Source organism: Homo sapiens, chromosome 22 (genome assembly GCF_000001405.40).
Source record: "Homo sapiens chromosome 22, GRCh38.p14 Primary Assembly".
Taxonomy (NCBI): domain Eukaryota; kingdom Metazoa; phylum Chordata; class Mammalia; order Primates; family Hominidae; genus Homo; species Homo sapiens.
This window is the reverse complement of record NC_000022.11, coordinates 35,217,245-35,232,542: the sequence shown is the minus strand read 5'-3', so window position 1 is coordinate 35,232,542 and position 15,298 is coordinate 35,217,245. Positions and strand designations below refer to the sequence as shown.

The 15,298-nt window shown below is 46.5% G+C and overlaps 1 long non-coding RNA gene across 1 annotated transcript in view; it reads left to right on the top strand.

Moving 5' to 3' along the window:
• Window positions 1–1,486: 1,486 nt before the first annotated feature.
• Window positions 1,487–15,298, top strand: part of LINC01399 (long intergenic non-protein coding RNA 1399) — a 111,233-nt gene continuing 97,421 nt past the window's right edge. The window contains exon 1 of the long non-coding RNA NR_126356.1: window positions 1,487–1,545. This is a non-coding gene — a long non-coding RNA (long intergenic non-protein coding RNA 1399). The remainder of the gene's footprint in view (window positions 1,546–15,298) is intronic.

Here is a 15,298-nt window from a genome sequence, read left to right as displayed (position 1 = left end):
CCAGGGATGTGCTGGGGGGAATGGGGAGATGAATAAACTCCCACCTCACTCTTTAGGGGTCTGTGGAATGGTGGATGAGACAGACACACCTTGTCTCTACCCTGCACCGTGTAACTGGGCCTTGCGTGGTCCTTTGTGAGTGTGTAGTAAGGGTAATTTCTTCAGAAGAGTTCATGAAGAAGCAGAAAATATGGCCAGGTGAATACATTTTCCTTAAAAAATAACTTACATGGTGAAACCCCGTCTCTACTAAAAATACAAAAATTAGCCAGGCGTGGTGGCAGGCGCCTGTAGTCCCAGCTACTCGGGAGGCTGAGGCAGGAGAATCGCTTGAACCTGGGAGATGGAGGTTGCAGTAAGCCGAGATCGCGCCACTGCACTCAGCCTGGGCAACAGAGAGACTCTGTCTCAATAATAATAATAATAATAATAATAATAATAAAAATTACACATCAAAGTGCCCTTTGTATAAAGCACTTATAAGTGAGTCTATTTAAAATTAATTTTAGAGACATCATAAAAGTGAGTCATCTCATTTAATTTTTACAACCATCCTCTGAAGTAGGTACTTACTTAATCTCATTATGACACAACTTATTTGCAGTAAAGGAAACAAACGTGGAAAGGTTAAGTTACCTGCCCCAAATCAAGGAACTACAAGGAACTGTCCATCTGGACGCTGAGCTCTAAGCTTCTAATAATAATTGCACACCTCTAGGGTTAGGAAGGGCAGGTCTATGGGCTGATGAGAAAGTGTCTAGGAAGCCGATGGCCAAATTTACCTGCTTGGCTTTACGCTGCCTGCGTGGGTGTGTCCAAAGCTCAGAGCTCCTTGAGGCCTTCCTCTGTGGGTCCGCTAGAGGGCGCTGTTGGCCCAGTTCAGAAGTATGTTTTTGCCCTTGAATTCAGGTGTGGTCAGGGAAGGAATTGCTGTAAAAGCTAAAGAAGCTTAAGCTTCAGGACTTCTCACCTGTACAGACCCCTTCTGCTTTTGTACCTAACTTTGCATTTATAATTTCGTATCATTTTCCCATAAGAGGGCTTCCTGAATAAGTTGCGGGCTCCTCAAATCTGTAGTCCCCTTTCTTATGTCAATACTTTGGTAACTCAGCCTGGGGGACTGGGACATTGAGCGTCTTGAGCATCATGAAGTGTAAATTTCCAGGGCATCTGGCTGTCCGTCTTCCGGCTGTGGACTCCCGGAGAGCAGGGGCTCTGCCCTGTTTGACTTGGACTGTCTGCTATGTAGAACAAGCTGTTTGTAAATGTTTGTTGAAAGAATGAAATAAAGGAGGTTGAGATGGTTAGGCTCTGTGTCCCCACCCAAACCTCATCTTGACCTGTACTCCCCAGGTGTTGAGGGAGGAACCAGGTGGGAGGTGATTGGATCATGAGGGCGGTTCCCCCCATGCCGTTCTCGTGATAGTGAGTGAGTTCTCACGAGATCTGATGGTTTTATAAGGGGCTCCTCCCCCTTCACTTCCTTCACAAGCGTCCTCTCCTGCTGCCGTGTGAGATATGGCTGCTTCCCGTTCTGCCATGATGGTAAGTTTACTGAGGCCTCCCCAGCCACGTGGAACTGTGAGTCAATTAAATCTCTTTTCTTTATAAATTACCCAGTCTCAGGCAGTTATTTAGAGTCGTGTGAAATGGACCAATACAGAGGTAAACAGCCCCCCCAGCACCACTGCCGCTGCTTTAATCTTCTCTTTGGGTCTCAGTTCCCCAACTTTAAAGGTGGGGGCAGGCATTGGATTAGAGTTCATCTCTAAGTCTCTTTTCAGTCAGATGTTTACTCTAGGATTTGCTCCCTGTCCATCCCTTTCTCAACTCTACCACCTGTCATTTCATTTTATTTCTCTAGTTCTGTCCTCCTCTCCAGCCCATGCCCTCACATGGCTAGAGCCTCCTTGGCTCTGCTAACACCTTTAGGTGCTGGGATTACATGCATGAGCCACAGAATCTGGCCATGGTATAGAACATTTTTACCACCCCAGAAAGCTTCCCATGCCCCATTTCTTCTCCAGTCTTTGGCTTCTGGCAACTACTGATCTGTTCCCTGGCACTGTGCTTTGCCTTTTCTAGAATTTCATATACATGGAATCCTACAGAAAGTAGTCTTCTGTGTCTGCCTGCTTTCATTCAGCATAACGTTTTTGTGATTCATCCAGGTTCCGTCATGCATCTGTCATTCATTTCTTCTTGTTACTGACTAGTATTCTATTGTATGGGTATACCATAATTTACCTACCAGTTGATGAACAAGGCACCAGAATGAAAATGGTCCGAGTTTGAATTTAGACTCTGCTATGCGTTGCCTGTATGATCCTGAGCAAACTGTGTAGCTTCTCTAAGCCTCACACTTCTCAGCTGTACAGTAGGGACAGTAACACCTTCCCCTAAGGTTGCTGAGAGGATTAGATGAGCTCAGCCCTGAGGAACACCTCGCTGTGTGTCTGGTACTCAATAGCTGGTTGTTATCAAGGATGTATTGAACTGTCTGAACCAGGTGGGGGCATATTCTGCTCTACTCTTATCTTTCTTACAATATCGTAGGCAGATCCTTGAGATTTTTGGTCATTTGCAGCTAAGTACTTCAATCTGGTTTTTCATTTAATGCTCCTCTTTCCCACCCTCCCGCTCAGGCTTGACCCAGCCCCAGAGACCTGCGCCGGGAGAGGGATGGGAAAGGTTGGGAGCAATGGGCAGGATGCTAGCTGTTTCTCAGGGTGCCTGTGTGGGTTCTTCAGAGGTCCTCGTGAAGAGCTCTTGTGGGAGCCCTGACCACCCCATTAGCCCCCATCGTTGCCAGGGGGAGCCCACAGCTTCTTGCCACTCAAGTCTCCTTGGGTAATGATTAGGATCTTTGGACGTGGAAATTGCTCAAGTCTTGGTCCTTCAGTGGTGTTCTCTCCGCCTGTGGGAGACTCACGCATCTTTGCCATGCTATAGTGGGAGTGCCTGCTGCTGCACCTCCACCCCCTACCCTGTGCCTCGCTCCAGGTCTTTTCTCCCCTGTTCTGTTAGACTTAAGGGGCAGATCAGAGAGTCTGCTGCAGAAACACAGATCTAGGGTCCTTTTCTTTCAGGCAGCCCCTAGCAGATGCTGGGATGTGGGCAATGTCTCCTACCTACATTCCTTGTCTCTGCTAAAGTGCTCACTGGCTAACCTCCAGGGCAGCCCCTGTATCTCTTTGCCTGAGGGCGTTCTACAGTGGCCAGGCCCCGGGCCAGAGTAGTGGGCCTAAGTACCAGGAAATTAACACCACAGCAGCAGCCCTCCATGATGACTGGTGAGTGTTGGCGTGTATTAATAAATGCCCAGGTCCCTTGCCCCCTGGTGGGATGACTCTGAAAGTCGTCTTCCTCACTAGCTCCCAGTGTTTCACAGCAGGATGAATTCCCTCTCATCCACAGTGGTCACTTCTCAATAACCACACCCTTTTCACTGCCGTTCTTTCTCCAGCTCTTTCTTATTCCCCTCCTGGAGTTTCCTTGGATAATCTCTCAAGTTAGTCACGTGTCCTTGGATTCTTGCCTCAAGGTCTCCTTCTGGGGAACCCAAACGATGCCATAGCCCTAATCTTTGCAAATGACTTTCTTGAAGTTGGCTTGGGTGGGAGCCAGGGCCGTACAGCAGGAAACGAAAAGACACAGCGCTCTCCCCATATTTCAAATACTCCCTTGTCTAGTGAGTCCTCTGGAATTCCTCCAGGTCTTTTGCTGATAAAGGTTGGAGGGGCTTGGGAAGGGGTGATGGCTGTGGGGCAGAGGTACTTCTGTCCTTTCTTGGCTCATCTTGCATGGCTATGTCACTGTGCTTTTTAGAATGTGAGAGGATTTCATGCCCATTGTCCCTAGTTTGGGGGTTTATGCAGAATTTTGGGACAACAGGGAAAACCTGTTTTCTTAGCACAATGCACAGCATTTACATATTAGTCTGCTCAGGCTGCCCTAATGAAATATCATAGACAGTGTGGCTTAAATAACAGACATTGATTTCTCACAGTTCTGGAGGCTGGAAGTCTGAGATCAGGGTGCAGTGTGGTAGGGTCTGGTGAGGACCCTTTTCCAGGCTTGCAGAAAGCTGCCTTCTCACTGTGTCCTCACAAGACAGAGGGAGAGCGCTGATGTCTGTTTCTCTTCTTATAAGGGCACTAATCCCATCACGAGGACCCCACCCTCATGACCTCATTAAGCCTAATTATCTCCCAAAGGCCCTAGCCCCAAATACAGTCTCACTGGGAGTTAAGGCTTCAATATAAGAATTCGGGGGAAAACAATACGGTCTGAAGCAGCTTATTGACATGATGATGATGCACCTCTGATTTTACCACTGAAACCTGTTTCTCCTGCTGTATTCCTTATGTTGGGGAAGACATTCTTTCCTCCCTGACTTCCTCCTCCCCTCATGTCTGGTTAGGCATAAAGTGTTGTCAATTCTACCACCTCCTAAGTATTAAGTACTTCCTCTCCGCTGTCCTCCACAACTTCTCTAGGCCAGGCTCTCATGCCTCATATTGGTCAGGATTGAGTTTCATGTGTGTCCCTGTGAAGAGACCACCAAACAGGCTTTGTGTGAGCAATAAAGCTTTTTAATCACCTGGGTGCAGGTGGGCTGAGTCCGAAAAGAGAGTCAGCAAAGGGAGATAGGGGTGGGGCCGTTTTATAGGAGTGGAGTAGGTAGTGGAAAATTACAGTCAAAGGGGGTTGTTCTCTGTCTGGCAGGGGTGGGGGTCACAAGGTGCTCAGTGGGGGAGCTTTTGAGCCAGGATGAGCCAGGAGAAGGAATTTCACAAGGTAATGTCATCAGTTAAGGCAGGTATAGGCCATTTTCACTTCTTTTGTCATTCTTCAGTTACTTCAGGCCATCTGGATATGTATGTGCAGTCTTGGGCCCAGAGGCCTGACATTGAGTAACAGAAAACAGCTCCATTGCTTACAAAGGTGAAGGGTGTATTATTACATGCAAAAGGAAGTCTGGGGCAGGCAGTCCAGAACTGGAACAAATGCCCAAAAATGTCATCAGGGACCCTGGTGCCTCCTCCTGTTTCTACTCCAGTATCCTCAGTGTTGGCACTGGTTCTTGTGGTCACAGGGTAGTTGCTGCTTCTCCAGGCGTCACTTCCTCATTCCAGGCCATAACTCCTAATTGAGAGCCTTTGTCTTTTTTACTGGGGAGGGGCTCGAGTGAGTGTGCAGGGGCAGGGGGTGTGCAGATGGCTTAGAGTAGCCAGTTCCCGGGATTTGCTACATCATGTCTTACCATAGCTGCCTCCTAACTGATCTTTCTGCCTCCATTCTCACCGGTACATTCTTGTTGACAGCATGTCCCTCTAGGGGCAATAAGAAACCATTATACCTAGCAAATCAATGATAAGACAAATGGTAACCATAATACCAATGGGAAGTACTTATTAGATGTGTAAATTGCATGCGGAACATTTAGTGCTTAAAGGGATACTCATGAAAGCCACTTTGTTATTATTTCACTCTGTCCCTCTAATGCTGGCTGGAGGATGGCTGTCCTTTCCCTGTCCTTGGATGAAAACTCTGCTCATCTCCATGACTCTGTCTGTCACTGGAGGCAAGACAAAGCCCTATGGTCAGTGGGAGTTGCAAAACAGAACCTGAGTCTCTTCCCAAGGTAACACTCCTCCTTCCCCCATCCAGCTGGGACTAGCTGCAGACAGGACACTGGCTTTGGGAAGGGGGATAGCCCTTTTCTCTTTTTCACTAAGATCTGCTGTTTCTGATTCCTTTTGCTGTGGAGTATTGGGTAGAGAAGTGTGGAAAGAAGGAAAGTGGGTCAGCACAGTTCTTATGTGCCTGTTAACAGCATCCTATGGCTTCATGATCTTTGGCTTGGTATGAGATGGGAGCTGACTGTCCGCCAGGCACTTGGGTTTTCTGGAGATTCCCTTGCTGCCCTTAACTCCCATCCTGTGCCCCTGGGCACTGCTGCCCCACCAACTGCTGGATTTTCCAGAACCCACTCACACAGACGCAGAGACCTTCTCAGTTGGTTGAGATCCCCTGACTACACACTCAGGGGCTGCCCCTGAGATGAACATTTCATGTACAAATGGTATATTCAGGAGGTGCTCCCAGGAGAAAGCTGTGAGCAAATTGGGCCAGAAGGAAAGGGAAGGGAGAGAAGCCAAGCAAGGCAGTGACTTCAGGTGAAGCCCCAGCTTCAGTCTGATTCTGTGGGCAGCTCTGCAGTATATATTAGACCTTAGAGTTCGTTCCGACTCAGCAAGGTTGCTGGCCTTTCATGTTCCCACACTACACGGTTGTTGGCTCAGGACTGCACCCAGGGGCCTGTGAAGGTGCCCAAGGGCCGGCTTCCAGAGACACTCAGCGGGTGCAGCCTTTAGAAGCAAAGGCACACAGGACCCAGTAAGAATCATAAAAAGGCCAGGCACGGTGGCTCATGCCTGTAATCCCAGCACTTTTGGAGGATGAGGTAGGTGGATCACTTGAGGTCAGGAGTTTGAGACCAGCCTGGCCGCCATGGTGAAACCCCGTCTCTACTAAAAATACAAAAATTAGCTGGGCATGGTGGCACACGCCTGTAATCCCAGCTACTCGGGAGGCTGAGGCAGGAGAATTGCTTGAACCTGAGAGGTGGAGGCTGCAGTAAGCCAAGTTTGCACCAGTGCACTCCAGCCTGGGTGATACAGCAAGACTCCATAGACCCCCACCTCAAAAAGAAAAAAAAAAGAATAATAAAAAAGTACAAGTAGAGCACCTACAGTGTCCCCAGCATCATGCTTACTGGACTCTGGGGGCTGTTTATCTTATTGTCCAAACTTGTTTTTCCAGTGACCAGCTCCTCCTGTTTGTCTGACCCTAACTTTCCACCTTTAAAACTCCTGTCTGAGAAGCTGAGGCCAGCTGCAGTGGGAAGAAAAGGGTACATGGAGAGTGTCACTTTTTCTGAGGGCACCGCTATTCACCCCCCATCCTACCCCCCATTCTTCCAACATCCATCACAACTCATCACCATTCACATAAACTTTGACACACACTTTGTGTATTTCCATAATGTTGTCAGCTGCCCATAGAGCATTGAGAATATATTTCCCCATTCTAGAGTGTTGGTAACTCAATGTATAGCAATTTATTCCACAAACACAGACAGTAACTCAACTGGTGAGAGGAGAAAAAATAAAAAAAGGATGCTACCAAACCACCACTGTCTCAGCACTGGAAATCAAAATGGTAATGCATGGAATAGATTTCTGCAAGTAATAGGCTTGGTCGGCAGAAGTGTGAGCTGAATTAAATGCCTTCTAAGTAAATCTCAGCGTGAGTTATCTGTTCACTCAGACATGCACGCATGGAGACTGGAGTCTGTGTGGACAGACGGCACATGCTGTAACTTCCATTATCCCACACTGAGATTCTTTGTGAGTAGCCACAGTCAAAGGAACTGGATATTTCCTGATCACTGTGACAGGTGGCTACAAGTGTGAGGAGAGGCATTCATTCATTCCTTTATTAATTCATTCATTCTTCAAGCCTTTGTGAGGCCCCAGATGTGCCAAACATTGTGTGGGGCATTGAAGGTGCAGAGATACAGGGGTGAATCAGACAAGGTCCCTGTCCTGTGGACTCAAAGTCTGATGGTGGGGACAGAGCAGCAGACAGTTCAGGTAGTGAATGTTAGCATGCTGCAAAAGCAGGCAAGGTTGCAGGCTCTGCAGTCAGACCAGCAGCGTTGGAATCTGGGCCCTGCCACTTACTCGGTTGGGGAAGATGCTTCACCTAAGTTTCCTCATCTATGAAATGGGGCTAGAAATACTGTCTGTCTAAGGGTGGATGTGAAGATGAGGTGACATAGTGGGGATAAAATGCATAGCAGAGGCCAGGCATGGTGGCTCATGCCCGTAATCTCAGCACTTTGGGAGGCTGAGGCAGGCAGATCACTTCAGGTCAGGAGCTCGAGACTGTCATGGCCAACATGGTGAAACCCTGTCCCTAGTAAAAATACAAAAGTTATCTGGGCGTGGTGGCACGTGCCTGTAGTCCCAGCTGCTTGGAAGGCTGAGGCAGGAGAATCATTTGAACTTAGAGGCGGAGGTTGCAGTGAGCCAAGATCGCATCACTGCACTCCAGCCTGGGCGACAGAGAGAGACCCTGTCTTAAAAAAATAAAAAATAAAAAAGCATAGCCGAGAGCCTGATTATAGTAAGTGCTCAATAAATATTAGTTGTTGCTACCACTGTTACTGATACCCATACAGAGCTCAATGTAAGGAGTCAGGAATGTTTCTGTTGTACACACATCAGGTGGGTGGCAGTCCAATGACCACAACCAAGGAAGATTTAACACAGGGATTTCATTGCTTGCAACAAGGAAGGAGGACATTGGGGACAGTGCCCAAAGCAGTGCGTCCCCAAACAAAGGTGAAAACAGGGCATTTATTAGGCTGATTAGCTGAGCCATTATATGTACAGGTGCAGTTGCCGAGCATGCTTCTATGGACGTCACATCCATAGAAAACAGCCAATAAGCTCCTCCCTGGATGGGGTTTTTTAGTGTGGTGATGAGGATAATTCCCCAAAGTTCACTCGAATTCAGGCATCTCTGGAGCTAACCAGTTTTGGTTTTGCCAGGGTTAGGCTTCTTTTTGAAACTTTTGAAACAACAAAAATTCAAAATGCAACAGTTACAACTGGGTACTTTTTGGACAATGAGTATCCCCAAATCCGGGGATCCTGGGTTACATTTTGATGGAGGAGGTGATGCTCATTTAGAGATTTGAGCAGTGTTGGTGCACCTGAGTCAGGAAAGGGACTGAAGTGCAGAGGAGGAAGGATGAACAAAGGCTCAGAGTGGGCAGAAGCTTCAACAACAGACATTTATTTTCTCATGGTTCTCAGGGTTAGAAGTCCATGATCAGGGTTCAAGCCAATTCCATTTTTGGTAAGGACTCTCTTCCTGGCTTGCAGACAGCTTCCTCTTGCTGTGTTCTTGCATTGCCTTGCTTTTGTGCATGTGCAAACAGAAATTGAGATCTCTGAGTGTCTCTTCCTCTTCTTTTCTTTTCTTTCTTTCTTTCTTTTTTTTTTTTTTTTTTTTTGAGACAGAGTCTCACTCTGTCACCCAGGCTGGAGTGCACTGGTGCCGTCTTGGCTCACTGCAACCTCTGCCTCCGGGGTTCAAGTGATTCTCCTGCCTCAGCCTCCTGAGTAGCTGGGATTACAGGCATGTACCACCACACCTGGCTAATTTTTGTATTTTTAGTAGAGACGGGGTTTCACCATGTTGGTCAGGCTGGTCTTGAACTCCTGACCTCAAGTGATTCACCCACCTTGGCCTCCCAAAGTGCTGGGATTGCAGGCGTGAGCCACTGCACCTGGCCCCTTCTTTATCTTTTTTAAAGACAAGGTCTCACTCTGTCTCCCAGGCCGGAGTGCAGTGGTGCAACCACAGCTCACTGCAGCCTCAAACTTCTGGGCTCAAACAATCCTCCCACTTCAACCTCCTATGTAGCTAGGACTACAGGCGAATGCTGCCACGCCTGGCTAATTTTTAAATTTTGTGTAGAGACGATGTCTCACTGTTTCCCAGGCTGGTCTTGAACTCCTGGCCTCAAGTGATCCTCCTGCTTCAGCCTCCCAGAGTGCTGGGATTACAGGCATGCACGATGGTGCCCAGCCTCTCTTCTTATAAGGAAACCAATCCTATCAGATTAGGCCCTGCCTTTATGACTCTAATCACCTCCTTAAAGATCCCATCTCCAAATACAGTCACATTAGGGGTCAGGGCATCAACATATGAATTTTTTTTTGGGGGGGGGACACAAACATTCAGTTTATGACAGAGTCATTGGAATACTCGATCTATGGCATGTTTCCCTACTTATTAGCTGTGTGACCTTAGGATCTATAAAATTAGGTCAGTAGTGACTGACTCTTGGGACTTTTGTATGGATTAATCCAGGGAATATGTTGTGTTGGAGTGACAGGAAATGTTGAAGCCTGGGGTTGTTTAGGAAAATGATGGAGCAGGACACAGCTCATAGCAGTAGGAGGAGAGCAATGGGGGTGCAGGAGCATTTTTGGCACCCACGAGTGAAGAGGTTGCCTGTCCCAGTGACCCAGAGAGTCTCTGGAGCAGTCGGTACTCAGGTGTGTGCAGAAATTTTAACTGAACCTGTCCAAGACTTCCACTTCTGTTGCTGTGGACAACCTATGCTGCAAGAGCTATGGGGGCCTTTTGTATCAAAAGATGTTTTGTATGCCACCAGCCAATCGAAATGAGACATGACAAATCTCATCAGTCCTTTCTCAGTTCAGTACATTCTGACTCCTTCCTTAGCAAGAGTATGAATGCAACATGAAAAGGAAAATTGAATGAGCCAACAAGGCTGGACAACAAGCTGACTGTAGATCCATGAACCTCAGGAATGGTCTTTAGTGGCTCGGGTTTACAGCATGGCAGTAGTCGTGTATGGAACAGTCCCATCTTGCACAAGACTGGCATCTCAAAGCTATCACTTCCAATTGACTATTGACAATGTTAAAAAATTTATAATTCATATGAATTGTGGGTCACCTTGTGTCCAGGCTCAACACAAATCTCATGCTGCAAAAAAACCTCAGTCTAGAATTCGAAAGCAACTGAAAAGGCAATTTAAGTTTTTAGTATAGTCCTTTTAAGAATGGTGCAGGAGGCCGGGCGCGCTGGCTCACACCTATAATTCCAGCACTTTGGGAGGCCGAGGTGGGTGGATCATGAGGTCAGGAGTTCTAGACCAGCCTGACCAACATGGCAAAACCCCGTCTCTACTAAAAATACAAAAATTAGCCAGGTATGGTGGCGCATACCTGTAATCCCAGCTACTCGGGAGGCTGAGGCAGGAGAATTGCTTGAACCCGGTAGGCGGAGGTTGTAGTGAGCTAAGATTGTGCCATTGCACTCCAGCCTGAGCAACAGAGTGAGACTCTGTCTCAGAAAAAAAAAAAAAATGATGCAGGGAATTTACATAAAAAGGCAAAGAAAAACTTTAAACTCCTTTATCCTTCTTTCTCATAGTTTTAATATCTCCCCCATACAAAGCCTTCTTCGCTCCATCTTCCCAGCTGACATTACTCTTTCTTCCCCCTTTCCATGTAGTTAAATTACTTATTTATTCATTTAAATTTGTATTGTGTCTCTCCTACGTGCCAAGATCTGTGATGAACATGATGACAGAACAGAGTTATGGTTCTAGCTTTCTCAAGTTTATATCCTTTGAAGTTGTGGGTATCTAGTAACTTTTCCACCCTCCCCTGGAAGATTCCTAAGAGCCACTTGTCTTACATGAAATTGATAACTCAGACAGGATCATCAGGACAAGAAAAACAGATCTTATATTTGTTTATATTTTATTTTATGTATTTTATTTTATTTGAGATGGAGTTTTGTTCCTGTCACCCAGGCTGGAGTGCAATGGCGCGATCTCGGCTCACTGCAACTTCCACCTCCTGGGTTTAAGCAATTCTCCTGCCTCAGCCTCCTGAGTAGCTGGGATTACAGGCACCTGCCACCACGCCCAGCTAATTTTTGTATTTTCAGTAGAGAAGGGGTTTCCCCATTTTGGCCAGACTGGTCTTGAACTCCTGACCTCAGGTGATCTGCCATCCTCAGCCTCCCGAAGTGCTGGGATTACAGGTGTGAGCCACTGCACCCAGCCTGATCTTATATTTGAAAGGAGCTTTGGAGGTCACCTGGTCCAGTGTCCAGGGGTCTAGACTGAGAGGACCCCCTCTGCAGTCTTCCTGGAATCACCCAGGCTTTGCCTTGGCTTATCTAGCCTGTCATCTGCAGGGGACAGTGGCCTTTCCTACATTGTTCACTGTAGTAACCCCCACATCTGGACCATGAGGTGCTCAGTTAACAATTGTTGACTTTTGGACGAATGAGGAACTCTTGATTCTAGGAGGCAGCCTGTGCCTTGATTGGACAACTGTAACTTTTAAAGAAAATCCATGACATTGAGCCCAAATCTGCCTTCCTATAACATAGCTCCATCATTCTGAGCCCTACTGGCACAGAATGGCAGCTGCCAACAAAGCTGCCCTCTCCAGGTTGGATTCTAAGACAACTGTAGCTCCTTTTAGGAATTGCCTTTGGTGTTTATTTCTGAGTCACACAAAGGAATCTAGCCTGGTGTTTTTTCTTAATTTTAGTGTCTTGGAGACTTTTCTGTGTTGGGATTTGTAGTGATCTCGTATTTAGACCAAGGGAAACTCAGAGGTCTAGGGAGGGCATAGTGGGGCTGCAGAAATCACGTGGTAAGCTGACTATCTCTCAGGGCTCATCACTGTCCGATCTACAGATTTAAATTGGATGTATAAATGTTGTTGCTAGCTGCTAGATTTTTTTCATTTATTTATTTAATTATTAATTCAACCACTGATTTATTCAACAAACATTTAACTAGCATTTACCGCGTGCCAAATCCTATGTTAACAATGTGATACTGAGATGAATGGGGAACCCCTTTCTCAAGAAGCTCTTAGCCTAGTGGGGGAAACAGACAAGAAGATGAATAGTTGCAACATAATGTGATGCATACTGTAATAATCATCTTCATAAGGAACAATGGGTGTTCTGGGTGGGGGTGGGGGCAGAGTCCATTCTGATTAGCAGATGGCATCGGGGAAGTCCTTACTGAAGAACTGACACTTGCTGAACTGAATTTTCGAGGTGGAACTGGTAGATGGCATGAAAGAAGTTGTTGGAAGACATTCCCAGGTAAGGGTAGAGAAAATGCAAAAGCATGTGGGTAGGGCGTGAAGGAGCCTGGTCCGTTTGGGAAACTAGGTGTGTATTTGGATGGCAGGGTTGGAGCATATGTGTTGCAGAGTCACAGTGTGGACGGGAGGCAACGGCAGACCTCAGAGGGCAACCCCTCCCCAGCTCAGAGCCACTCTTGATGTTCTCAACATGCTTTCCCTTAACTCTCTATGTTTAATGTGGAGTTATTGGCTCTATGCAGATCAGAAAAGTGTAGCCAGATTTTTAAAAAAATCATAAAAAATGTGAATATAATTAACAGTTGAGATAGTATAATGCATTTATAGATCCATCACTCATATTAAATAATTACCATGTTTATTCATTTTTTTCCTTTTCTTGGCTGAAATATTTGTGGTCATTTTATGCAGCAGTAGATAACTAATACAGATATGCTTGGCTGCAAGTAACAGAGAACCTGCTAGCAGTGGCTTAAAGAGTAAGGAGGTTGATTGTTAGTGAACAGGAAAGCAGATACTTCCAGATCTGTTTCAACCACTCAGTGATGTTGTCCTAGACCCAGATCTTGATCTGTCTGCTCCATCATTCTCAGCACGCTAGGTGATGTCTTCTAAGTGAGTCATCAGATCCTCACCACAATGATCCAGCAGTAAGGAAGAGGGTGTCTCTCTCTTACTAGGGAGAAATAGCTTTCCCAGAAGCACCAAGTAGACTTCCCTGAGCGTCTCATTTTCCAGAACTGGGTCAGACGCCCATACTTGGACCTAGTATCTAGGAAAGAGAGAGAAGATTGCATGACTATTTTGGATTATATCACAATTCATGTCCTGAGGCTGGGTATTTTGCTACTGGAATAAAACTGATGTTTTATTAACAAGAAAGAAGGGAGAAATGACAACTAGAGTGGCCACCATCAATATCTGCCAGGTCAATACTGCATGTCGACAGGGGGTTATATATGACCTTTTCCACACATTAAGCCTGCACATCAGGCCTCTTACTTCAGCCTGGCAGGAGCTAGAAGCAACTTTTTCTCCCTCTGGCTGACAGCTGTTGTCACCACTGATTCCCACTGCATTGTGGAATGCAGTGCAGTGCATCTGATGATAACAGACATCCAATTCTCAGGGCTGGGACCCCTTTGAACATGTCTTTTCCCCCTAATTCAAATGAAAAGAATGCACATGTGTTATAAAAGGATGGTGGACCTCAATATAATGGGTCAGTCGATGTCAAAATCTGGCCTGTCATTATCTGCAGTGTTACATTGGGAAAAGAACTGAACTCTGTGAGCTTCAATCACCTTATCTGTAAAGTGGGTATAATAACATCTACCTTATATGGTTATTGTGAAGACTGAATAAGAAGCCACATGCTAAGCATCTAGCACAGTGCCTACTGTGTAGTGAGTACTTCTTACAGTAGTCAGGCATCTGCTGAAATAATGCTGAGTAACAAACATTCCCCAAACTTGCTGGCATACAGCCACAAGCATTTACTTTTCTTGCATGGTCCTGTGAGTCAGCTGTGGTTGTGCTGGGCTCTTCTGGGGTTGGCTGGGCTTGGCTCCAGGTTCAGGCCTGTTGCACATGTCTATTCTGGGACTAGCAGCACCAAGGACATGCTCTTCTCAAGGCACTAATGGAACCCAAGAATCCAAGCCAAACCATGCAAGTACATTGAAAGTCTCTGTCCATTTCATGTCTGCTCACATTCCACTGGCCAAGGCAAGTCACACAATGAGATTGAACCTCAATGGGGTGGGGAAATATACTCTACAGGGAGGCCCTGAGGAATCACACAATAAAGGGCATGCACTTTTATTACAGGGAGAGCATGAAGAATTGTGAACAATAATCTAATCCATCTCAGTGGAATAACACTATTATCCCTTGTGTGCAATAAATAAATGCTTATTTTAAGGCTCTGAGTTTTGGAGTTAATTGCGCAGCTTTATTGCTGCAGAAACATGACTAATACATGCTTTTCCCTCCTTCCTATAGCATCAAAGCAGAAAAATGTTGTACTACTCATTTTCTTTCCCCTAAGCCCCACTCAACAGTGTGACACTTGACTCCAGTGGAGGGATTCCTGGTTCACAGCTGGCCCTCTTAGACACACATCACCACTCTGCATTTTTTACAGTAGCCAGTCACATGAGACAGAAATTCACTTCGAACTAGTTTGGGCAAAAGAGGAATATTTTGGCTCAGATGACCATAAGGAGCACAGGGGCACAGTTGTACTTCAGGAACAATAGGAATGGGGGTTTTGAATGCTGCAAGGACTCTCTCCCCATCCTATCTTTGCTGTATTTGTTTATCAGCTTCATTCTCTCAGGCTGGCTTCATCCCCATGGTGGGGACTGTCATTGCTTAATTTCACCACCAGAAAGGGGCTGAGATTTGTTTTCCCCTCCCAGTATCCGAGGGAAGGGTTCTGACTGGCTTGGTGTGAGTCAAAGGCCAACTCTGGGCCAGTCCCTGACTGAGGCCAGGGCGGTGGGCTCCTACATCTGGCCCACCTTGAGTTAGGGCAGGGG